Genomic DNA, 26,891 nt, shown 5'->3' with positions numbered 1-26,891 from the left:
TGCCCCAGGAGGTGGCTACTGCATCTCAGAGTTTAAGGGTCAAAGAACCTGGAGTCTGGTGTCCAAGGGCAAAGGATAAAAAGGTGTCTACTCAGGAAGAGAGAGACAGAGAGGCCAAAAGAAAAAGCTGAGCAAGACGAATGTCTCCCTTTTCCTGCCTGCATTGCTTTACCTACATCCCTAACTGACTGGATGGTGCCTGCCCACATTGAGGGTGGCCCAGTTCACTAACTCATGGGTCAATCTCTTCTGGACATACCCTCACAGCCATACCCAAAATCAGTACCTCACCAGCCCTCAATCCAGTCAAATTGACACCTAAAATTAATCATCACACTAAGAAAAGCCAAAAACATAAAAGGCAGTACATTACACCCAGGGAGGGAGCATAATATACAGTTAGGATCCAGGACTCTAGAACTAGACTATCTTTTTCAATTCTGGTTCCTTACTTACTAGTTATGTAATCTTGGACAATTGATTTAATCTTTTTTGTGTTTCAGTTTGCTCATTTATAAAGTGAGGATCACAAAAATAGTTTCTGTCTCAAGAGCTGTTAGGAGGATTAAATGAGTCAATGTATATAAAGTGTTTAGAACTTGGCATTTTCTACAATAATTCTTTTTTTTAATTTGAGACAGGGTTTCTCTGTGTCACCCAGCCTGAAGTGCAATGGCATAATCATAGCTCACTGCAGCCTCAAACTCCTGGGCTCAAGAAATCCTCCTGCCTCAGTCTCCTGAATAGCTAGGACTACAGACACACACTACCATGCCTGGCTAAATTTTCACTTTTGTAGAGATGTGGTCTCACTATGTTCCACAGGCTGGTCTTGAACTCCTGGACTCAAGTGATCCTCTCTCCTCAGCCTCCCAAAGTGCAAGAGCCAATGCACTCGGCCTACATTAATTCTTATTCTCCTCAGCTCACATATGTTCCTTGAGACTGAATGGATATTTCATAGAAAGCTTCCTTAAAGAAGTGTGCTATGGAAAAGTATTACTTGCTTAAGATGATTTTGATATATATAAGATTATGCTTAACTCATGACAAAACATGCAATGGCGCTGTCCATCAATCAGTCGAGTGAACTGCTGTGTGATGAATTATCTTGATAGGTGATTTCTATCACCTTTCCATTCTTAATTAACCTATCAAGATAGTCTATAAAGTTTATCCCCAAATATCTCCCAAATCCATCCAGTTTTCTGATGAGTAAATCAAGCAATGGAATTAGCTTGTTCTGAATGGTTACTACAACTGCTCACTCTATATAGTTATAAATGGACCATCTTTATCTAAATACTTTCTGTTAAGGATTCTGCCACTTCATATACCTGTCACAGAACCCTTTAGAGGGAAAGAAGGATTCTAAAAAAGAAGGTTCTGTAAACCTAAATTTTCTCAAAAAGAGGACACTTTAGCTTATCCAGTAAACTTGGTTTATGACAATTCAATTCTTTCCTGAAGGGATTTTTACCATTTTAATTTTTATCTCTTAAAATATGCCTAGATTTAGACTGTATACAGCCCAAACTCTTCAGCTTCCCTAATTTTACTTCTTCTAGGACTGCTATTTATACTTTGGCTAATATAACTTTCTCTTGTTAATGATAGGAATCTAGGAAATTCCCAGTAATTATGCAAAAAATGTATAACTAAAGTATTTGATCTCTGTCATATGTATTTAATTTCTGTATTTTGTTCTTTCTCCAAAGAAAAAAATTATGCAAAGTGAAAAGGAAAGGAAAAGTGATCTAAAAGATCTCTTAAGGTAGGATTCAGTATGTCTTCATGGGAAGATGGTGAAAACCTACAAGAATCTGATGTTCAAAGTGTATTACAGTGTCATCTTCAAAACATAACCAAGGCCCATTCTTTAGCAAGACAACTGGGTAGTGAGTGGTCTTGGAAGCCATGCGCTAATTTTGATTCGTGTCAGGAAATTTTTGTAGAGTTAGCAATAGAAGTTCAGTCAAGTTAATATCAACTCAAAGATATTAACTCATCACTCTGGACATGGGATTCATTCAGAAGGCTCCTGTGTTCCCACATTACCCTTCCATCTTAGATGAGACTTCTATAAAATATGAAGGCATGTCTGCTGATTCAGAGAAACCCAAATACATCAGTAATAAACAAAAACTTCATCAAATAAAGGCAGTACAACAAGAGTAAGAGAATAGTTTTGATGTAATTTGATGTAGAGATAACAAAACACCCACAACTTATATTAAATAAGTTTGCCTCCATCAGGACAGTTAACCTGTTACATGAGTCTTTAGAGATTAGAGATTCTACTGCTTCTCATAATCCTGACTGAAAGTTGTAGATCAATAAAGTACTTTGTGACTAATTGCTTAAAGTGCTTTTATTTTAAAGCATGAATTTACAAGTTTACTTCAATAGGAGCAACTTGCATATACATCCAAGGGAGGCAATTTCTTCCACCACTACGTTCACAAACTCTAAGTAGATGAAGCTAGCTCTCTCCACATATCCCATCAAATAACCCCCCATCATAGCCAGCCAAAGTTAGGTATTGACATGTACATAGCAGAGAAAGAAATAACGTGGAAAGACTTTTGTAAGAAGCCAAGAGACTTTCTCACCCCAGGTTAAAGCATAGCTGAATATGTGGAATTGATTTCTATCTTGGCTGATTCTTAGGCCCAATCAACATAGCTACTACCAACTCTCTAAAGCCTCTTAAAGATTTGGTGGCTTCAAGCTAAAAGATGAGATGGAAAAACATTTATTTCTGGGGGCATTTGGTAGCTCCAATTCAACTCAGTTTACAAATTTGTTGAACAGTGTTTACAAAATACCATCAGGGATATCTATAGACTCCTAGAATTTTGGATTATGCATACCACCAGCATTTGATGACTTGTTCTTCTGTAACAGATACTTACATGGTGAATATTATTTAGGTTGGTAAAGATTGTAAGTGGGTTTAGTCTCCACGAAAAAAACGAAGAGAAAAAAAATCAAAGGAAACTTACTTTCCTAACTCTTCTCGCATCCTCCCTAGATGGAAACTCATACAAAGAAGTGCCCTCTGCATTGAAGAGTTTGTTGATTATAAACACTAAAATTGGGTCTTAGAGTCTATAGAAACTTGTGATATTTGCAGTCTCTAGGTTAGAAACAGTTCATAGCTCTTGCTATGTTTGAATATGCAAAGTGTGCACAATTTGGGAAGTTTTAAGATCTACAATGGATGCTTAGCCATGGTGTTTCAGGATGGAGAGTCACAATTCATCAAAATAGGCTGGTCACAGTGGCTCACACCTGTAATCCCAGCACTTCGGAAGGACAAGGCAGGTGGTTCACCTGAGGTCAGGAGTTTGAGACCAGCCTGGCCAACATGGTGAAATCCTGTCTCTACTAAAAATACAAAAATTATCCAGACGTGGTGGCGTGTGCCTGTAATCCCAGCTACTGGGAAGGCTGAGCCAGGAGAATCGATTGAACCCAGGAGCTGGAGGTTGCAGTGAGCCGAGATTGCACCATTGCACTCCAGCCTGGGTGACAGAGCAAGACTCTGTCTCAAAAAAAAAAAAATAAAATAAAATAAAATAAAATAATAATAATAATAAAAAAATAAAAAATTCAACGAAACAAAAATGATAACAGGGTTTGTGCTCCTCTACATCTTTTGATTTTTTAAGCATAGATACTTACTTCAGTTATATATTTATACTGGATTTTAAATAAAATAACTTCTCATTATTCTTGGAGTCCCAATGTCTATTATTTCTCCTTTATAGTATTAGCAGCCCTTTACTTTGAAATCCCCACGGGTATAGGACTTGTGCAGGCCTTGCTGCTGGATTCTTTTTAGATTATCTTCTACTGCTGGTTTTATCACAGAGAATAGTAGTAAAAAGATAATCTTATTTCTTACAAATGCTGCTCACACTTCTTACTACCACACTACTCAGCCACCCCTGAAGAACTGAATTTCAAATACTAGTAGCTTGTTAGAGAAGGAAGATGAAAAATGTCATGTTTACTCCACATTTCCCAACTGGAAACTTCACTGTTGTGCTTTTCCAGATGACTAGGAATGCTCCCGCCCTTTCCAATCAATAGATACTTTCCCCTTTGAGTCAGAGCCTTAGCACCATGTTACCAAACTCTTCAACTTAGTAATAAAATTCATGGCTCTGGGGTTGAAAGCCCAGCTCTGTCACTTAGATGGTGTATGACCTTGGGTAAAAAAAAAAAAGTGTTGAAAGGATAAGATGATAAAATATGTGAAGCACTAAGCACAGTGCTTGGTACACAGTAAGCATTTTCTGAATGTTTACTATTGTTTTTACTGTTGCTACTAATATTGTTCTTAATAATTATAAACTTAAGTTATTCCTCCTTACTAAGTTATGCTCTTATGCTATTTCCTGCACAGATAACTTATGATTAGATAATTTGAGCTATAGTAACACTTCATGCTAAAATACATATAGACAGATTATTGATATGGCTGGTGAGGCCTCACAATTATGGCAAAGTCATGGCTTACATGGTGGCAGGCAAGAGAGCTTGTGCAGGGGAGTTCCCATTTATAAAACCATTGGATCTCATGAGACTTATTCACTACCATGAGAACAGCATGGGAGAAACTGCAACCATGATTCAATTATCTTCACCTGGCCCCGCCCTTGAGCTGTGGGGATTATTATTATTATTGAGACGGAGTTTCTCTCTTTTTGCCCAGGCTGGAGTGCAATGGTGCAATCTCGGCTCACTGCAACCTCTGCCTCCCTGGTTCAAGCAATTCTCCTGCCTCAGCCTCCCCAGTAGCTGGGATTACAGGCATGCGTCACAACACCCAGCTAATTTTCTGTATTTTTAGTAGAGACGGGGTTTCTCCTTGTTGGTCAGGCTGATCTCAAACTCCCGGCCTCAGGTGATCCACCAGGCTCTGCCTCCCAAAGTTCTGGGATTACAGGCATGAGCCACTGCACCTGGCTGACATGTGGGGCTTATTATAGTTCAAGGTGAGATATAGGTGGGGACACAGCCAAACCATATCAATTTCCTAGAGCCATTCATTATAAAGATGAATTATACATGTTTATCCTACATGTATATATCTAGTCCATATTTAGTCAGATAGAAGAATTTAAAATATAAATGTGGTTGTGTATTACATCATTTTAAGGTTATTGCATAAAGAGCCAGAATTTCCCAGCTGGACATGGTGGCTCATGCCCGTAATCCCAACACTACTGGAGGCCGAGATGAGCAGATTGCTTGAGTCCAGGAATTCAAGACCAGCCTGGGCAACATGACGAAACCCCATCTCTACAGAAAATATAAAAAAGTACCTGGGCATGGTGGTGTGCTTGTGTAGTTCCAGCTACTTGGGAGTCTGAAGTTGGGAGGATCAACTGAGCCCAGGAGGTGGAGGCTGCAGTGAGCCATGATGGCACCATTGCACTCCAGCCTGGGTAACCAGAGTGGGACCCTCTCTTAAAAAAAAAAAAAAAAAAAGCAGAATTAAAATTGGACATTTTTTTATATTCATGTTTGGGCCCATTAAAAAAAAAAGAGAACAATGAAAAATTATAGGTGAGAGATTTCAGATAAGTGGTAAAATTACATAATATGAATGCCTTGTTTTTTTCTGACATTCTTAAAGTTAAGCAACTTGAAAAATAATTTGTTAGTAGTAGTATTATGTTATAAAATTCCACATTGAAAGTAGATCCTTCAATTAATTTTTTAACTTGTAAATTGAGAAATGGTAACAAACCAGAAAATTTAAGAATTGTTTTTTAAATGATTTCTGTAGTAGTCTGTTCTCACACTGCTAATAAAGACGTACTTGAGACTAGGTAATTTATAAAAGAAAGAGGTTTAACGGACTCACGGCTCCACATGTCTGAGGAGGCATCACAATCATGGCAGAAGGCAAAGGAGAAGCAAAGGTGTGGCTTACATGGCGGCAGGCAAGAGAGGCAAGAAGCAGGAGACCTCCCATTTATTAAACCATCAGATCTCGTGAGACTTATTCACTACCGTGAGAACAGTATGGGGAAACTGCCCCCATGATTCAATTATCTTCACCTGGCCCTGCCCTTCACACGTGGGGATTATTAAGTTCAAGGTGAGATATGGGTGGGGACACAGCTAAACCATATCAACTTCTTAGAGCCATTCATAATAAGGATGAATGATACATGTTTATTTGACACGTATATATCTAGTGTACATGTATAGGAGAGTGAAAATTAATGGTTTATGTTTAGAACAATGCACCTCAGGATTTTTTGTTTTTGTTTTTACATGATTATCATCATCAAAACAAATTCAATCATATTCAACATTCTCCATTCAGGCACAGAAATGGATTTATGTATTGACATTTTTACTAAAGGCAATTGAAGTTTGTTTTGTTGTTGTTGTTGTTTGTTTGTTTTCTTAATCCAGCTTTACAAAGAAAACTCAATCAACCAGAATAGTTTATTCAGATTATTTAAAGGAAAGCCAAAATGTTTGCATCATTTTACAGATTATTTTTTCCAAGTTTTAGCTTTTGAAACTCACTTAGGTAGATAGTTAAAATCAATATTCTACAGTTAATTTGTCCTATTTATAAAGATAAAGAATATGTGAATTTTTGGCATTTCTCTCACACTCAAGTGCAGCCATCACCCGAATAGTGTACATTATACCCATTAAGTAATTTCTCATCCCTTACCTGCCTCCAAACCTCCTACCCTTCAGTATCTCCAACATCAGACTCAATTTTCACCCCATTTTTCATCCTAATTGAGAAATCAGAGCAGCCCCATGTTGCCTTTCACATCAACTTGCCTCTACGAGCCAAATCTGATCATTTCCATGGCTGATTCCTGCTACTCTTTACAAGAGATAAAGTGTGATTTGAATGGTCTTAACTTCACCACTCCAGAGCTTCTCTCTCCATTGCCACCCCCAACTTCTCTACCTTCAATCAATGCCTGTGCATTCTTATCATCTCCCTGCTCTCAGAGCCTGCTTTCTTTTAAGAAGATCTGCGATTCAGTCACAAAGTTCCCTTCTAGGAATAATAACATTTTAATAGGTGTCAGAGCCTTCCTCTAAAAGAATGACACTCTGATGGAGAAATAATTGCTTCAACCAGTGGGTAGGAGCTCACAGTAGTTTTCTCAGCTGGGCTTCATTTCTTTCCTGGCATATCATTTTTCTTTTCAACCCTCTGCCTTTGCTCAGGCTCCACCGTACCTCCTCATCCCTTCACTAACAGCATACTCCTACCTGTGTGCCAACAAAACATATACAACCTTCAGACCCAATTTTAGAAAACTCTTTCAAGGAGCCAGCTGAACTACCTCCCACATTGTTAAACTATTTCAGTGTAACTTAAACACTAAGATTTCTGGCTATCTGACAAGGTATTAGCTTCCCCAAGTTGAGTATAATTTCACTGATTTGCAGATGAATATACATATAAATTTTTCATTTTCCGTAGATCACCTGTAAAACTCTCTACATATCTAGATGCCTAGCACATATGCATTGGGTGTAAGTCTAAAGCTTGCTAAAGTAAATTGTTGTATTTTCCTCAAAATCAGATGTTTCTGTTTTTCTTTAATGAACCAATACATAATTTACCTATTTCTTGATTTGTGTCTTATGTAACACTTTAAGGTATTACTTGCTCTAATTTTACAGGGTTGGAGCTAGCACATTTTGGAATTAAGTGGAATTTTGTTTTCACAGCCTTCTTTTTCTTCTGCCTAGTGTGCAGTCCTGTCTTCTCTTACTGTTGCCTTCACGCATACTGCAAAGTAAACGAACACATACAACTGCTTCTTCTCCAAATGCATTAAAATTAAGAGGAAAAAAATAGGCTGGGCACAGTGGCTCACACCTGTAATCCCAGCACTTTGGGAGGCTGAGGCGGGTGGATCACCTGAGGTCAGGAGTTCAAGACCAGCCTGGCCAACATGGCGAAACCCCGTCTCTACTAAAAATACAAAAATTAGCTGGGCCTGGTGGCAGGTACCTGTAATCCCAGCTACTTGGGAGGGTGAGGCAGGAGAATCACTTGAACCTGGGAGGCAGAGGTTGCAGTGAGCCAAGATGATGCCATTGCACTCCAGCCTGGGCAACAAGAGCGAGACTCCATCTCAAAAAAAAAAAAAAAAAAAAAAAAAGAGGAAAAAAATAGGGAAAGTATTTCCCCTGGTATTAAAATAGATTTCTTTATCCCAGCATGTAAGGCAAACTACATTATATGGATGCCAAAACACCAATTAAAATCAGAATATCTGATTTATCCTACATTACATTTTTCCAATGACTGTAACTTTAATCTTTGATCACCAATTTATTCTAGTTATCTGCAACATAAACTATATAAATGGTCTAAAAGTAAAGCTGAAGCAACCTAGAGATATGCCTAAGGAAATACTATTATACATAGCAAAGGTAATATTCTTCTTATGAAAAAATAAGAATGCAGTGTTACTCAGAGCTAATATTTCTGTTGAAAAGACTGCACAAACCAATTTTGTGGTATTTTTCAAACACCATTTATTATTGCTGTTAAATTTAAAAAATTAACTGGGGCATTGCTCTGAGGAATAGCTTGTGATTCTGTCTCCCAAATTCACCTAGGCTATTTTGCGTTGGAATAGTCAGCTACCCCTCTAATCATGTCTTTCTCATCTCTAAAATGAGAATCATAATGATGATTTTCCCACTTACATGCAGGGATTGTTGGGCTAGATAAGTCAAAAATAACGAGTGCAAAATAAGCTATTAAATCATTTTGTTTTTTATATCTACATGAGAAATGATCTTTTAATTATGGATTTGAGGTATTAGAAAAATACAAAAAGAACAACAAATTTATTTCTGTGGTAGGAAAATTACTATTGAGAACAAAACTAATTTTTAAAGGAGTATATTTAAAGTCTATTTAAAGAAAAATATTAGGTAAGCGAGAGGACAGGTGGCATATGAATACAGCAGAATTGGTGAGGGTAGGTTACTCATGATTGTAGCTTGGGAAACAGTCAAACTAGAGGCCAAGATTCTGGTTGTCCTTTGTCAGAGGATCCAGCCCCTTGCTGGCTTTAAGACTTTGGGCAGATAGTTTTCAAGCTATGTCTCAGCTTCCACAATTGTTCAACCTTACTTTATAAGATTGCTGTGAGGGGGGCAGGGCGTGGTGGCTCACACCTGTAATCCCAGCACTTTGGGAGGCCAAGGCAGGTGGATCACCTGAAGGTCAGGAGTTCAAGACCAGCTTGGCCAAAATGGTGAAACCTGTGTCTATGAAAAATGCAAAAAAACAAAAAACAAAAAAATTAGCTGGGTGTGGTGGCAGATGCCTATAGTCCCAGCTACTTGAGAGGCTGAAGCAGGAGAATCGCTTGAACCCAGGAAGCGGAGGTTGCAATGGGCTGAGATTGCACCATTGCACTCCAGCCTGGACAACAAGAGCAAAACTTTGTCTCAAAAAATAATAATAATAAGTTTGCTGTGAGGATTCAGGGAAGTGAGGTGAGTGAAGCACTTAGAATAGTGTCTGCCACCTAGTTGGTGTTCACAAAGTATTGATTATTATTGGTATATTTTCAATTGTATAATAATTTATCCTAACAGGTTATTTCTCAGATAGTTAGTGAGACCCTGACTGGAGGACAAAAGTCTCTAATATCCACTTGATAGTGTGTTTGGTGTAATTCCCTGCAAGTCTTATTCACAGCACCATGAGTCTAACACATTATGATTCTAATATGGTAAAAGTGAGCTTAAATTGCAATCTAAAAGCCTAGATTAGCTAAATTTAGAGGATTTCTGTTGGTTTTGGTAAGTCTGTCTCTCCTATAACAACTATCCCCTCCCTGCTCCTTGAAGAATTGAGACTCTATTTACAAACCAAACCCATAAAATTTCTATCATTTTACAAATTATTTTGTTAGATTTGAACTTTTGAAACTGGTTGAGATGAACACCTAAAACTCTTTGAACTGAACAGAATTATTGATGTTCCTTTATTTTCACTGTTTTTCCTGGCTGACAAACAAGTTTATATGCAATTTCTTTGAACAGACCACTTGCATTCATTCCTAATGAGCAGCTTTCTATATATATGACATTGCAAATCCTTTCAGTAAGATGAAATTCAAAAGTGACGTTACTGGTCTTCTTGAAGTACCAGTGAATTAAAAGCCAACCGTCTTGACTTCAGGTTATCTATTTATGATCTGCATTGTAGAAAGTCAACCGATTATTCTGGACCTATTTCTTGCCTGAAAAATGAAGTTAGACTAGATCAAGTTTTAATCCAGAGTTATATAGAGAGGGTCAGAATACTTAGAGAGGGATTTCTTTTTACTAGTCTTTAACTGAAATTTATCATTCTCCTCATTTGTAGGAAAGAATACGCATCAACATTTATGGTATTTTTGTCATCAATAGAACTATATATCTATTTATTATATACCTATTATACACTTATATTTAGTGTAGCGACCTTGAAGTATCATTTTATATCACTATTTCAAAACTACATAGGTAGACCTTCAATTAGACCTTTTAATTTAATGCATTAATGGAGCATATATAACACTATAGCACATCACTAGGTTTACTTAAATATGTTGATAACTGTATTTTAAGTAGAATTCTTAGTAATCATATATGTTTTATTTTATTTATAAATTGTACTTTGAAAAGCTGGCCATAGGCTTCACCAGACTACAAGAGGGATCTATGATTCAAAACCATTTGGAACCTTGGTATATGGGTGTTTCTCAAAGCCTTTATATGGTACACTCTTGGGCCATAAAGGTCATCTAAGATGATCTTTAATGGATTGAAAATGCAAATTGTTTCCTCTTTATGGGAGAATGATATGTCAGAATGACTTCTTTTTTTATGAAGTACTAAGGGTCACTAACAAGCAGTACTGCCCAAGTTAATTGTAAAGGCGTCTACAACTAAAGATTTATCAACTAAAATAATGTAATTTGGATTTGCTGAGGACTCTGCTATCTGGCTGTCATGAAATTCCTTGGCAATTGCGTGTCTACTCCTGAAAAGAGCTGGAATTTTAGTTTTCAAGGAAGACCCTTTTTCAGTGCTACGAAACTCTTATCTTGAGTTTATCATAGTTTTTAATTGTTGCTAATCACATGTACAGAATTATTATTGGGTATAATATGTGTATCATTTGGGGATTTGTTATTTTTTATAATTGCTGCCTTGTTGCCATTTGATTACTTTCTTTTTCTTTTACTCTTTTATTACTGCTGATTTCTTTATTCAGTAGAAATAAGATAAATAATTTGGTGGTGGATGACCTTAGTAATGGCCTTTACCCATTATAAAAAGTTCTCTAAAAAATTTTGAGAACCAGTGAATTAGTTAATTACTTCTATTTCTTTCTTGTAATTCAGTCTGTTCTTTTTACTATGTTCTGTTCTATTCTAGACTGTTCTGTTCTGTTCTAATCTAGTCTTAAGTAACAGAATATTAAATCAGAATTTAAACCAAGACTCTAACATGATAAATGTCAGAAAAAAACTGATTTTTGAGACAAGAATTTCAAAGAAGGTTCAAAACTCAGTAATAAGATGCATAAAACCCTTTCCCAATTCAAACAAATGAAAAGCTCAGGTCACTGAGCTTGAAAAAAAAAAGATTTATGAAGATGATTTCTTTAAAGACTTCTCTGCTATTGGGAAATGTGCAGAAATGCTTCCTTCTTCACCTCAAATTAAGGGAGGAGAACTTCACCAAGACCCTTGGAGAGATTGAAGTTAAGAGGATATTGAGAATGGAATCTAGTTCCTACCTGAGAGATCTAAAGAGTTAAATGGTGGCAGGTGAGCCAAAGGAGAGACGGCTGTGTAGATTTCAGCTTTTCTTCCAGTCATTCATGGAAACAAATGCCTCAAGAGTGTGTCATGTGAACCAAATGTACCCACCCACATTTGGAAAGCTGATGGGACCTCAGCAGACAGAAGCTGGAAATGTACCAGCAAATTTCCAGGGGCTGTGGACATTGTAAAGAAGCCAGAGATTCATGGGTCTTACCAACCTGGTAAAAAGCCATGGTCCTTGGCAAGAATTCTGTTAAGAGCCCATGACTGTGCTCACAGAAAATAAAGGCAGCTGTAAACGCCTGCCAGGTCTAGTGAGTGCAAAGCCATCCTACAACACTGCTGCTCCTCTTAGCTTTCTTCTCTCCCATGCTTAGGAGTCCAAAGTAGCCAGTGGAGGGAGAGCAAGCAAGAAATGAGAGAAACATCAACCATACACACCCCACCCCCCTCCACACACACAGGCAACATTTCTGGGTTCTGTAACAAACAAGGTGGGAAAGGAGTCTTATCTTTGTTTGACGATGTTTATTACATGAGACCAGACCTTCTATTGTCTGATTTGAGATTTTGGCAACTTAATGTGATCACAGGATGTTTTTAGTTCTCTAAGAATGATCAGGAAAGTAATGAGACTACCTGAAATTTTGATCTTGGCTGAGAAGATAAGTCCCAACCCTCCATATCGTAAAGACAAAATTGTTTTGTAATAGCACCTTATAAATTCTGTATGTCCACTAATTACATAACCTCAACAAAAATATGCTGCAACTGAATTGATACAATGCTACAATATATGTTAAAGGAATTATAACAAAGTTAATTGGGCAAAGTTTAATTGTTAGAATATCTTTACTCAAACTTCAGACAGAAAGAAACTTTCATTGTATATGACTATTTCCTGAACTCTCAAGATATTTCAAGTAATTGACTCAAAAATTAATTTCTGTTTATTTTGTTTACTTTGTTGCTTATGTAATAAGACTCTTTCATCTAAACATTCTGCTTTATACTTCTATTTTCATAGATTCTCTACAACCTCTCCAGAAATGTTGAAAGATTTTTCCATGCTAATATTTTATTTTTCTTGAAAGTTTATATGGAAACTGAGTGATTCCAAGACTAGTTTGTCTTGACAGGTGGTATCTTAAACACTACTATCCTTTCATACTCATTTTTAAATATTCATAGCAACTAAGCAATGTATGGTTAAAAAACATTGATCATTAGAAGGTTTAGTTAAAGGAATTTGTTCCAATTAAAAAATATTCAGAAAAAACATGATTTTTTACATGGGATTTAATAGATGTTTAAACATGTTTCATCTATTTTATTTCTGTATTTTCATATTAAATCACAGCTTGAGAAAGTTATGTAACCAACAGAAGATAGCTTGTTATACTATGTAGATCCACAGGCTGAAAGGAAGATGTTTGGTGTCTTTGAAAAAATGTGCCACAAAATCCATTGTAAAATTCAGTCTTCAACATTTTATAAAGTTCTTCAGTCTCCTAACCTTATTAGTTTTTTCCAAAGCCTTATTTTGTTTTGTTTTGCTTTTGTTTCCTTATATTTTTAGGTGAATCTGATCTTCATAAGAACTCAGAAGACTTAGTAAATGCTGAAGAAAAACATGATGAGACACATTCATAGGCCCGAAACACCTTAAAGACTTCTGTCATTTTAAACATGAGAGGTAATTTTATTTTATAGACCAGAAACTTAACTTCTAAAGTAAATGGTTTGCAGAATACCATTATGGATGAAATTTTCTTATTTAAATGCCCTCCTAGAGTTTTTTTAATCTCTATCATCAATCCTTTGAGACAAAATCTTAACAGGTAAACTTTAAATATTTACCTTTTCAAATAGTTCTTAATTTGTTAATCAACAAAAATTATATTTACTGGAACTGAAATTTTCAATCTTTAAAAATAATTTTAAAAATGGCCGGGCACAGTGGCTCATGCCTGTAGTTCCAGCACTTTGCGAGGCCAAGGCGGGCAAATCACAAGGTCAGGAGTTTGAGACCAGCCCGGCCAACATAGTGAAATCCTGTCTCTACTAAAAATATAAAAAATTAGCTGGGTGTGGTGGCAGGCACCTGTAATCCCAGCTACTTGGGAGGCTGAGGCAGGAGAGTTGCTTGAACCTGGGAAGCAAAGGTTGCAGTGAGCGAGATCAGGCCACTATACTACAGCCAGGGTGACAGTGCAAGACTCCATCTCAAAATAATAATAATAATAACAATAATAAATACGTTCATGGGGATGTTTAATCCTCATTTCTTTTTCCACATCATGTAAGAAATATAAATGTTTTAGACTGATTTCTTGTTTTATTTCATGTAAAAATATGTTTATACCCAGTAATTAAAACAAAGCAAGTACATATTATAAAGCAAATATCATGTTCCTTAAAATCTGTGAACATGTGCATCTATGGTTCTCTTTTTAAAAATTCAGCTTCTAGGGCTTGTTTTCAGTCTACCAAATTATTAACTCTGGGAGTGATGCCTTGAAAATTTGAATTTTTGATAAGCCAGTCTGTTGATATTTCTGTCCACTAAAATTGAGAACCACTGTCTTGAACCGATGGCGGAGATATGGGCAGTTAGAAAGGAGGGATGTGTATTTACAATGGAGATGTCTTAATATCTACTAAAAATAAGAAGAAGTAAAGAACAAAATCCAAGTGTTATAACGCATCCTGTTATGGGGGTGGTGGGTTGGGGCAAGAGAAAATGCTGAGGGTACCATTCCAAACCTTAGAGATGTTATTATTAGTTCCACAGCTGTTACTTTAGATATGAAAGTGTTAAAATGTGATTCGCTTTTAAAATAATTTCTTCCTCAATATTCTTGAGTTACAAAGACAGTTAGTTGTTAGACTGTCTTTTATTCATAAGAATAGTTTTGTGAATAGCAACAATAAAGTGTCAGGCACTGTGGTGAACATCTTGTATATGAAGTACCTTTTTGCATTTTTCTTTTTTTATTTTTGGAGACCGAGTCTCGCTCTGTTGCCCAGGCTGGAGTGCAGTGGCACAATCTCAGCTCACTGCAACCTCTGCCTCCCAGGTTCAAGCAATCCTCCTGCCTCAGCCCCGCAAGTAGCTGGGACTACAGGCACCCACCCCCAAGCCTGGCTAATTTTTTTGTATTTTAGTAGAGACAGGGTTTCAGCGTGTTGCCCAGGCTGGTCTCGAACTCCTGAGCTCAGGCAATCCGTCTGCCTCGGCCTCCCAAAGTGTTAGGATTACAGGCGTGAGCCACTGCACCCGGCCCCTTTTTGCATTTGTGTGCGGCCCGCTCAAAGTAAATATAATATTTAAGCCCGAGCAGACGATTTGGCAATTTTTTTTTTTCTGTCAAGGCCAGTTAAATTATTTAGCTTCCTTCTCAGTTTGAGAAAGCCCTGCCTTTGGTGCACAGTCTTCTGGGAAATGTGATCTTCAGTAGCACCTTATAAATTTTATATGTTCACTAATTATGTAACCTCAATAGAATTCTGCTGCAACTGAGTTGATACAGTCCTACAGTATATGTTAAAGGAATTATGTCAAAGTTAATTGGTGCAAAGTTTAATTGTTGGAATATCTTTACTCAAACTTCAGACAGAAATTCACATAGCTTCCCAAAACAAGTAGGTCTTTTAAATGAGGGAAATGAGTGAGGTCTAAAAACAACAGGAGGGGTGACGATTGGCAACTGTGACTCAGGCATGGTGTCTGGGAGACAACAGGCAGTGATCAGTCCTGGAAACAGAGAGGACACAGCACACCCAATCTGAAGGCTACAGTCAGCCACTCTTTGGCTCTGGCAGATTTTTACTCTGGCAGAGTAAGGGCCCAGTGTTGCCAGCTGTTTCTAGTGGTTAAGAAAGGTTCTTAAAGTAAACTCTTCCAATTTTTCCTATTGGCCCAAAGTTTTTTGAAATGTTTTGTGGACAAGAGAAAAATATATCTGAGGGTCAGATTTGGCATGCAGGGTTTCTGTTGCAAATTTAGCACACCTTCTTTGTGACTGATAGCTAATTCTTTGCTGGCTGCCATCACAGAAAGTGTAGATGTTATCGCAGCCTGGCCATGTCTCTGAAAGCCATTACCTGCTTTGTTCTCAATGTGTAGGTCCCACTGTGAGGCAATTTCCCAGAAAATATTGAGCTCTAATTAAATCTGTGCCGTGTTGAGACTTCATAAATCAATGTGCAACACTACACTTAGGACAAGAAAGAAACCCTTCAAATCTACTTTTCACATTGTTGTATAATTTCGCCATCATTTCTAGGAGATTTTAGACCACGAAAGTGTTTTGTTTTGCTTACATTTTTCTTTTGTGTTTTTGTTTATTAAAGGAAATAAAATGGAATGGTTGGATATATAATCCCAGGCTGCTTTATTATTTAAAAAGCTAATGGCATATCATTTATCACATTATCTTTCTTGAAAGATATGTCAGGAATTTCTGGCATTTCCAAAGCAAGCCACTATCAGACCTGTTACCCACTGGGAGGAAAGTGTTCCCTATCACGACCGGTGTCTACTCTTTAACGTTGAGTGTGCTATCCAACAAGAGATCAAAATTGATCATTTGTTGCTGTATTTAGTCAGTAGACTTGCCTGGACTTTCACACTGATTTAAAATATCTTTTGGAATATCTTTAGGCAGGGCTTATGTTCTTTAGTTGACTACAGTCCCTGTGAGTCTAGTTGTTTTACACTCACACTGGCCCACTTAACTCATTTACACTACCTGACAGGCCCGTATGCCTATCTGATCTAGAGAACCAGAGTTTTTACTGGAATTGAACACACACACATACAAACACACGCACACACACCCAGAGCAGAAATAGGAAGAGAAATTCCAACTGATGTAAAACCACTATCTATTAGAAAGATAGTAAAGAAAGCCAGGACGGGTGCGGTGGCTCATGCCTGTAATCCCAGCACTTTGGTAGGCCGAGGTGGGTGGATCATGAGATCAGGAGATCGAGACCATCCTGGCTAACACGGTGAAACCCCGTGTCTACTAAAAATACAAACAGTTAGCCGGGCGTAGTGGCGGGCGCCTGTAGTCCCAGCTACTCGGGAGGCTGAGGCAGGAGAATTGCGTGAACCCGGGAGGCGGAGCTTGCAGTGAGCCGAGATGGCGCCACTGCACTCCAGCCTGGGCGACAGAGTGAGACTCGTCTCACCAAAAAACAAATAAAATAAAATAAATTAATTAATTAAAATTTTTTAAAAAAAGAAAGCCCTTATTTTTGACAAGGTATGTAAAGTGCAATGTGAATTGCCACACAGTAATTGATACCTGTGTATGACTAAGTGATGACCTTCAGTTTCTATGTTTTCTTTTCTTTTTATTTATTTATTTTTAAATTCACAAATAAAAATGGTGTGCAACATGTTTTTTTTTGAAATTGTGGAATGGCTAAATCAAGCTGATTAACATATTCATTACTTCACATGCTCATCTCTTTTTGTGGGGAGAACATTTAAAATCTCTCTTAGCAGCAGTTTTCAAGAATATGATCCATTGGTTTTTAACTACAGTAACCATGTTTTACAGTAGACCCTTGAACTGATTCCTCCTATCTAACTGGAATTTTGTACTCTTTGACTAGCATGCGCCCAACCACTTCCCACTCTTTCTTCTCTGATCCATATTTTCATTTGGATTTTATTTCAGGACAATGAAATCAGCATGAAAACATCCTAAATTCTCAACTTTCCACAAAGCTATGGCTCTTCTTTCAACATAGAATTGGATTGGGCCATTTTAATTGACTCCTATACAAGGAATTAAGAAGAACATAAATTTTGAGCTAGTAACTCTGGCCAAATAAATACACTCAAGTTTTTATCAGAGTTTTTGGCCAGTGCTTCTGCCATTTTTTTCCCTCCACAATTTGGCCTTCTTCAATCAAGCCAGATAAATTTTTGAGACAAAAGTCAGACAGTTTTTAATTTTTCTTGCTTTGAACCCTGTCATAATGACTGTGCAATACATGTGCAGAAGATGAGGTATTTTAAAATTTACTTCCTTGCACTGTCTTACACAGAGTGCTATAACTATAAATTTTTCAAGGTCTTAAATAAAAGGAAGCAAAAACAAAATTATTGAAAAATTTTTTTTGTTGTGCTGGGGAATATACTATTTAGATTGTCCTTCTTATTTTAAATGCATGGGAACAGAATGACAGGTGGGATGCTGAGGAGCTGGTTGAAGCATCAGAGCAATGCTACAGTCCAACAATGGAGCATTAGATCCCCAGCTAGGTGACCTGATGAACACCTTTGTAAACTCTCATACTGGGAAATGGCAGTGAAACCTTTTTCTGAACCCGTGGACCAGCCTGCGTCCGTCCCCATGGTTTCAAAGCACGAATGCATTACCTCCATGGTTGTGGTTACAAGCAAGTCACATGCTATCTACAGTTCATGATAACAAGACCGTCAACCATTGCTGGAGACAGACACTAGAATGGAAAATGAAATTTGCCAGCGGGATGTTTATCCCATCAGAATGTAACAAAATATATTACCAGCCAAGAGATAAGAGACAAGAATGTGTGTGTGTGTGTGTGTGTGTGTGTGTGTGTGTTCAAAAATGTCTATGAAAATGAAAACCCACACTTTTCTGTACAGATAACATTATTTGATGTGACTTTTATATTTTACTACACAGAAACAAACTGCAGCCCTCAGAGGCCCTGCTTCCTTGTCATGTTTTGCCTGAGCATGTGCAAAGTCTTTCCTTTGCTTAAAGCTGAAAAACTACCTTTATGCATTGTTAGCTGACAAGAAAGATCAAGCACAATTAGATGTTGTAACTTTTCACTGTACAAGCATTGCAATGATTGTGAGCTTCAGTGAATTTATCTTTGTGAAAGGTAAAAATTGGCTGGAAAGAATCAGGAGTAGCCATAAATTAAATCATGCAAAGGAGGATCCATGCATCCTAACAAGTTTTCTGCTGCATCTGCTTCCTTCCTGGGCTCCACAATGTTAAGCAATATTTTAGAAAAGGGTACAATTGGAAGCTTTTAAGCCTGAGTGGTGAGATTTTATAACTCACAACTTAGATCTCTTTTAATGTGTAAGCCATATTCTATATGCATATTTATTATGCATCATTGTAATTTAAGATATATTTGGATGTAGGCTGTATAAATGCTTTTAATTGTTCTGTGAATAGATCCTTAGCTTTAGTTTCACCTGAATCTTGTGCAAAACACAGCTAAATAATTGAATTGTATTATAGACATTATGAGGTAATTGATCTTTTAAATGTAAGGAGTAAGATTGATCTATAATAATGTGCTGGGGAAAACATTTATAGATATGTACATCATGGTTACTTTTTGTCCTTTCAAATGGACTTTTTATTTCTATTTATGGAGAGACTGTAACTACTGCTTTTAATGTCTTTTTAAAGCAAGCTATTTACCAGCTTGAAAATATCATGCATTTAAAATAGAATCTATCTGGGGAGTCTAATTACTATTGTTCCTATTTGAGCCAGTTGTCTTTCAGTAAAGCTATAGAATCTCTCAAAGAAGTAAATAGAAATACTACTTCTTAAATGTCATAGGAAGCATATCCACTTTGTTTCTATTAGTACTTTAAGATCTATAAGACCTTATTACTAAAAAGTAGAGGAATATAAAGAATTCATCAATTTCTGTATATGGGCTTTAACCTAATTTTCCAGGTTATGCGACTTATAAAGCACTGTGACCAAACTTCCAGAGACAGTAAAAAAAAAAAAAAGAAAAAAAAGTTTTACTCCTTCAGAAGTATTGTCATGCTACTGCTGTACTTATTTTCCTAATCTCTCTCTATCTGCTATACTCCCTCCTTTTCTTTCTTTTTCTTTTAAGCTTTTATATTTATTCCTTCCTTTGTTTTCCTCTCTGTAAGACAGCTACTACTGAGCACTAATTAGTAGAAAGTCAGAGTGGAGGTTATCTGTGCATGTCTTTCTGCAAACATTACTGTTGAGGCCATCTGAAGAGAGGGATTGATAGGTTAGGCTGTTGCACCGTGAATGTCCTGCTTTGCATTTTTAACCTCAGCTCCCCAACATATATATCTTGCAGTTTATATGCCTTTTCATTTAACCGAAACCTCTTTTATTTAATTTTTAACATAACAACCTACAATTCTTGTGTTTTTATTATGCTGTATTTTTCTGTGTTTCTTATTACATGTGATTGCTAAATAAATCATATTTGAGGGAAAACATTGTGAAACATTTGGTGTTTTATGCAATTCAATTTAGTGAGGCATTGAAAAGTTGGAGAAATTGGGGGAAACCCAAAGGAGACCAACTTAAAAATTGATATGAGTTTGGTAAGAAAGTGCTTTTTGTTCCATTAAATAAATACTGATTGAATTACTTATTATTATACCTATTATTCATAAGCTCCTGGCTGGAAGCATGGTGCATATATGCATATGGCAATATTTCCTCTAGAAATTTCAAGTCTTATAAAGGAGATAATCTACACAGACTGTAATTTATACCTAATAACTAGAATGCCACATAAAAAAGTAACCAGTTGCAAATAAAATGCACCTATGTATATTTGAGGAGGTAAAAAACTGCTTCTGTCTTCAGAGCTTTCAGGACTAAGTGGTGCATCAGTTGGCATTTAGTAAATAAAAACAAGTTTATAAACATTGCCTATTTTCCATGTGTGGCCTCCATGTCAATGCTTAACAATATTATCTCAAATCCTCACAGTAATCCAGTAAAGTGGTGTTGATATGAACAAAGGAAACCAAGTCTCAGAGAAAAAGCTTTGTCCAAGGCCATGCAGGTCTCCATTGGCCATGCAGGTCTCCATTGGCAGACTCCACACTGGATTTGGTTCTGTGTTTCTCCGGCACCTTGTTTTCTTTCTACAACATCCACGTGGGGCTGGGCAGAAGCACAGCAGAAGGAAAGGGTCTGTGAAGAAGAGCAACGTGAATAAGGCAACACCAGAGAAGAATAAAGTAGCAAAGAGTGTTGAATCAAGGTGAAGACCCAGTGAGTCTCAATTAATTGAATTAAGAGTAACTGGCATGGTATGTGTGAAACCTTAGGCTGTGTCTCTATGAAGCCAATGAGTTCCAGAAGAAGATGTAAACACTTAACTGGTCATCAAATATGTGACACTTAGCTGAATTTTTTACTTTAAGTATGATTACATGATAAATTTCCACCTAATATCAAAAAGCTTTCAAAGGCTATATTTTAAATATGAAAGTCCATATTTATGTTTAGAAATATAATTTAGATATAAAACACATATTTCCTTTGGAAGCAATAATATATTAAGCCTTCTGTCCTCTGTTTAAATGTTTTTCTAAATACGGCAAACCTTCTCTACCATTTAATACAAGTCCTGGACAATAAAGACAATGTATATTTTAGAGTCTAAAAAGCAAACACCTAATAATGTCCTGCATTATTACATTAATCTTATCATTTCTTTGGAGGTAATTGTAAATATTTAAGATACATTTTCTATATATGGGCCAACATTATGTTTAAAGCTCTAGTTGGGGCTTTTTATTCCTTAATAACATTAATTAATTTCTAGGTAATTTGCTTAATATGTGTGAAGGTTGGAGAGTTTCCTTTGCATCTCAGTTGATATATTTTTATCTCTGACAATTAAAGAGTATAATCATGTAGTTTTAGTTTATTGTAGTCATACTAGTGCATTATATTATTTTCTTACATTATCTCTTTTACTTCCTACAACTACTCTGTAAGGCATTATTATTCGTTATTATAGGTAAGGAAGTGTGGCAGAGGAAGGTAAAATAATTTGTGTAAGGTCAAGCAACTAGTAAGTAGAGGAACCAGATCTGAAGTCTAAGGGAGTCTGACTCAAAACCACTAGGCTAGATTGCCTCTGGCCACTGGAGTAGGATCTGTCATGTTTTTTTCTGCTTATGATATTCATTACCTTCCTTTTTTACTCTTTGTTCCATTTTGCAGGCTCTTGTCCCTAAAAACTATCACTATGAGAGGGAAGAATTTTCAGTGACCAACAGCAGGACGGTGTGTGCTTTGGTGACCAATTTAACCACGTATTACTGTAGAAAAGGTGTCTTTTATTTTTGTGGATGGGAGAAACCATTTTCCATACTTAATATATGACTGTAAAGTGTCCTTTTCAAAAGTAACCACTGGTCCTCACTCTACACTTGCTACTCAAAATGTGGTCCACACCTGTGAACTTCTTAAAAATAATCTCAGGTTTCTATTAAACTGGAATTGGCATTTTACAAAGATAACTAGGTGATTTCTATACAAATCACTGTTCTAGACAGTAATTACATACTATTCTAAGCACCTACTAGCCACTTAAATACAAGGTTGTTTTTCTTCACAGTAGAGGTTCTTAACAAGTGACTTTTGACTACTGTACCCTTCCTTAGATCTATCAGCAAACGTCATGGAACAAAGGCTAAAGGTTCAGGCTCTTGCGTCATTTAATGAAGTGTATGTATCTGTATTGATGAAATGTGGTTCCTTACACAAATAATTAGAGGAGGACTTGGAGGAAAGACATTAAGACTTGAAAAAAGACATTAAATGTGTGAGCATGACCATATGGCTTTTAGAGCAAAAAAAATCTTTGAAAGCAAAATTCTTCATAAGAGGCATTAACATAGTTGATTGATCCTGTTTTCATTGGCCTATCAAATATTGCAATTGAATTATATAGCGTACAAAGGCAACTTTACCTTGCACAAGTGATAAATACATAACTGTTAACCTAAAAACATAGTTTGATGTGTTTCACTCTTATCTGTCAGCTTTTTTTAAAACCTTAAAATACAGAAAAAGTTATGGAGAATACGCTTGAAATGTATGGGGTAGGGTGATGGAGAGGACATTAAACATTAGAGCTAATTGCCAAGCCTAGAGTGGAAGGAAAAGGGTTTGTGTTAACTTTGGAAGCAGCAAGCCATCTGAATTCAGAAACATAATATACCAAGGAAAACAAAAAGAAAACAGGGAGCTGATATTGGTTTACAGAAGGAAAGGGAGCTGGGTGTATTTTCACAGTGACATAAGCCCAGAGAGTGTGCAGGATGGGTATCTGGGAGACCTCATTCCATCTGAAACTGTGGGGTGAGCCACACAGTGAGAAAAGATTCGTTTTAGGCAGTAGGAATGAGGGAGAACTGAAAAGGAAAAAGATGGGCAGTGTGTGAGACGACATTTGTTCTTTGGTTTACTGAAGAAGCATTGGCTTTGGGCAACTGAATTTGGTTGGGCAAATTTTTCTGCATATGGTACAACTTTCTGTCTTTTTGGGTCCTGTATTTACATCCCATCATAAGCCAACCAACAGTGTAATTGTTTCTTGTTTGGGTGTCTTATTTTCTGTTTTGGATTTGCACCTTGAAGAGGCTGAAGCATGCACAGGATTCTCAGGAACCTCCCCTGACTGAAGGACTTCTAAATTAAATAAATACAAAACTCACAACATTCAGCTTTTCTCTAGGCAAAGCCAGGCTCAGAAAGCCCTACTAATGTGGCAATGTCATGCTTTCAGGTGTTTCTTGCTTTCAGAGCACAGAGGTAGACGTGCACCAACCTATTCAGAAGTCAGATGCTCCAAAGGTAATGGGAACTAAACCTGTGAGGAGGTACAAAATCGAGGGGCTGTAGTATTAATCTATGTGCTGTAATTTTAAATTTTAAGATAACAGAGTGACCCAAGGCATGTTTAATAAACTTCTGGAAGGTAAATAGTAATAGCCACTAACTGATATTATATCTTGAAATACACAGCTGAAGTGTATACACACACACACACAGAAACACACACATATATATAAAATCTTCCTGATCTCATACGTATGGAAGAAAAAATTAATATTATGATCTGTAGTGAGCGAGAGTTTATACGAAGAGCAGGAATCTATTTTTTTTCCAAGTCAAACTTTTTTTCTATAGATATGATCCTATAAATTATCTTTTAGAGATCACATACTCCTTAAAAAAATTTTTTTTTCAAAATCCTTGACTTTGGATGTTGATGAAATGTTTACTTTTACCCTCAACTTCATTGGCATTCCATCTTAGCATTTCTAAATTATTACTTAAATATAGATATAAAATATGTCCTTTTTAATGTACTCATTCTAAAAGGTATTAAAGTGTACTAGAGTTCATTATTAAAAATTGATTTTCTGATGAATAATATCATACATGCATATGAACAAGTGAAAATAAAAATGTCTATTTAGAATTAAGAATATACCTGTGCATCAAGCATGAATCAATTTTACCTTAGTATGTGTGTGTGTTTGTGTGTATGAGTGTGTGTGTGGGCATATAAAAACTTGGTGGTTTCAGATGAAATATTAAATTAGAGATTTCAGACGGGCACAATGCCTCACACCTGTAATCCCAGCACTTTGAGAGGCTGCGGTGGGCAGATCATGATGTCAGGAGTTTGAGACCAGCCTAGCCAAGATGATGAAACTCTGTCTCTACTAAAAATACAAAAATTAGCCAGGCTTGGTGGTGTGTGCCTGTAGTCCCAGCTACTCGGGAGGCTGAGGCAGGAGAATCATTTGAACCCGGGAGGTGGAGTTTGCAGTGAGAGGAGATAGCGCCATTGCACTCCAGCCTGGGCGACAGGGCAAGACTCCATCTCAAAAAAAAAAAAAAAAAGACATAAAGTAAATTAGAGATTTCAAGTTTCTAAACTCCTTGTTTTCTAACTCCTGCTCCACTCATTGAAATCACAATTTTCCCACTGAAAAACAGAAGCAAGTGACAGCTACAGCGCCTTTTAAATGATAGTTTGAATGATATCTGTCTCAGATTACAAAAGTAATATGCATTTAATCTCTTATTTGTAAACAAACTCCATTTTGTTGTTGTTACAGATAGCATCTACATAGCATTCTTCACTTAGTCTGCAAGGTAGACTAGACATTCCATGGGGTCAGGGGTTTATGTTTTGTTACTTTGTTTTCCCATAGCCTAACACGGCTTGCACACAACATAGCCTGACTGTTTTTGATTGAATTTGTTAAGTTGAAGGCAGCTATATATTCCTGAAGCCTTTCGGGGTTTACCTCTTAAGATTGTTGCAAGAAGTAAGTATATTGATAGAGGTAAGGAACTTAGAGCCTGTTGATTCATGTACCTTAGTGTTAGCTATTGTTTGTTCATTTATATTGGCATTTGTTCCTGGCTATGTGATGCAAACCTATTAGGTTGGTGCAAAAGTAATTACAGTTTTTATATCTGAACATGTAATCGCTAAAATTCATTGAGTGCTTACATAAGTCTGCTAAGTTCTAAGTTTCGTGTCTCTACCAACTTATTTCTCACAGCAATCCTAAGAGATAAATATTACTGTTATATCCATTTTATAGAGAGGAGGACTGAGACAAAGCTAGGAGAAGCAATGCATTCATGGTCTTCCATCCTGGAAGATGCAGGCTTGGGATTCTGATTTCAGAGTTCATGCCCTCAGCATCGTTTTACTCTTTCAAAACTAAACCAAACTTCAAGAGATTGCTGAACTTGAGAGAATCTATGATTTCTTCAGCTGTTGAGAACCTTGCCATGGCATTGTGCTTGGGTCAATTTAAAGCGTATAATTTCTATAAGGATTATAGACTCATTTCTTCTTTCTAATCAAAGAGCGTTGCATTCTTTAAGTCTTTACCACTTTACCTGTGTTGAACATTTGGCTTCTCTTTCCAGCTCTTTTTACTTAGTCTTTTCTGTATACAGTTGTTATGCTAAATCTCCCTAATGAATTCTTTGGAAATATTGCTCCTTTTCTTAAAAACAATTTCTCCTTGTCTACATCAGAGGTCAGCAAAATTTTTCTGTAAAGGGTCAGATAGTAAATATTTTAGGCTTTGGAAGCCACATACCATTATACCACCCTCATCCTGCTGCTCCTCCTCCCCCTCTTCTCCTTTCCTTTCTCCTCCTCCTTCATCATTTTCTTCTCCTCCTCCTTCTGTTTCTTCTGATCCTTCTCCTTTCTCTTCCTTTTCTCCTTCACAACCATTTAAAAGTGTAAACTATTCTTAGCTGGTGGGGAGAGAGCATGCAAAGACCAGCTACATGGCAAATTTGGCCCACAGGCCTGCTCTGCACAGCACTACTATTTCAGGTCAAAGAACTTGGTACCCTAGGAAAAAGAATGAGGCTGCTTCTGCCAGGGACAGTCACCCCAGGAGCTCCAGCTTCTCCAGGCCCTGCTAGCCACCCTGAGGACTGCAAATGTCACTATCTATCTCCAGCACACCTGCCACTCATTCCCAGTACACACATCCGTTTGGAAGGCCTGGCTACAGCACTGGTTCTCAACCCTTAGCATGCATCAACATGGCCTTAAGGGTTTGTTAAACTACAGAAGTCTAAGCCCCATCCCCAGAGACTCTGATTCAGTAGTTCTGGGATGGGCCTGAAGCAAAGCTAATGCTGGTAGACTGGGGATCTCACTTTGAGAGCCACTGGCCAGCAGGTAAAGCTTAAACTCCTTAGCATAATTTTCAAAGCCCCTCACAGCCTAACCCAGCCCATTTTCAGTCTAGCCTTCATTACAGTATTCACTGTTCCTGATGCCTTTGCACTGAGTGCCTCTTCTACCTGAGTCTTGCTGCTCCCTTTGTCATCTTTACCTGTCCCTGTCCCTTCTTCCTCTAAGGATCTGTGCATTTGCCTGCTCTCTTGCAAAGCCTCTTCTCATTCCTCTAACCAGAACTCCATCTCCTCTTTGGATGAACACTGATCTGCTATCCCTCTGTGCGAAAGAATTGCAGCTCTCTGTCATACACTTGCTGCTAGATTTTTAGGGAAAAAAGCACTGAGTTTTACACACTGTAAATGTTCAGTAAATATTTGTGGAATAAATGGATGTGAATAAATGAATGAAGGCAGGAAGGAAAAGTGTATTATTATTTGTCCTGCTTGGTATGTGATTGAGTCAGTCCTTTTCAGATAACATCTCCAGTTAATTTAGTCAAAATAAGACCCACTT

The 26,891-nt window shown here is 37.1% G+C and overlaps 1 protein-coding gene across 9 annotated transcripts in view; it reads left to right on the top strand.

Moving 5' to 3' along the window:
• Positions 1-20,546, top strand: part of PDE1A (phosphodiesterase 1A) — a 576,757-nt gene extending 556,211 nt beyond the window's left edge. For all 9 annotated transcript variants that reach the window (XM_047444688.1, NM_001395258.2, NM_001395259.2 and 6 more), the window contains 2 exons: positions 13,435-13,551; positions 17,549-20,546. In XM_047444688.1, coding sequence (XP_047300644.1) covers positions 13,435-13,508 — 74 coding nt within the window. In that variant the 3' untranslated portion in view covers positions 13,509-13,551; positions 17,549-20,546. The remainder of the gene's footprint in view (positions 1-13,434; positions 13,552-17,548) is intronic.
• The last annotated feature ends 6,345 nt before the right edge of the window (positions 20,547-26,891 follow it).

The sequence above is a fragment of the Homo sapiens genome, chromosome 2 (genome assembly GCF_000001405.40).
Source record: "Homo sapiens chromosome 2, GRCh38.p14 Primary Assembly".
Lineage (NCBI taxonomy): Eukaryota > Metazoa > Chordata > Mammalia > Primates > Hominidae > Homo > Homo sapiens.
This window is presented reverse-complemented; position numbering and strand designations above follow the sequence as displayed.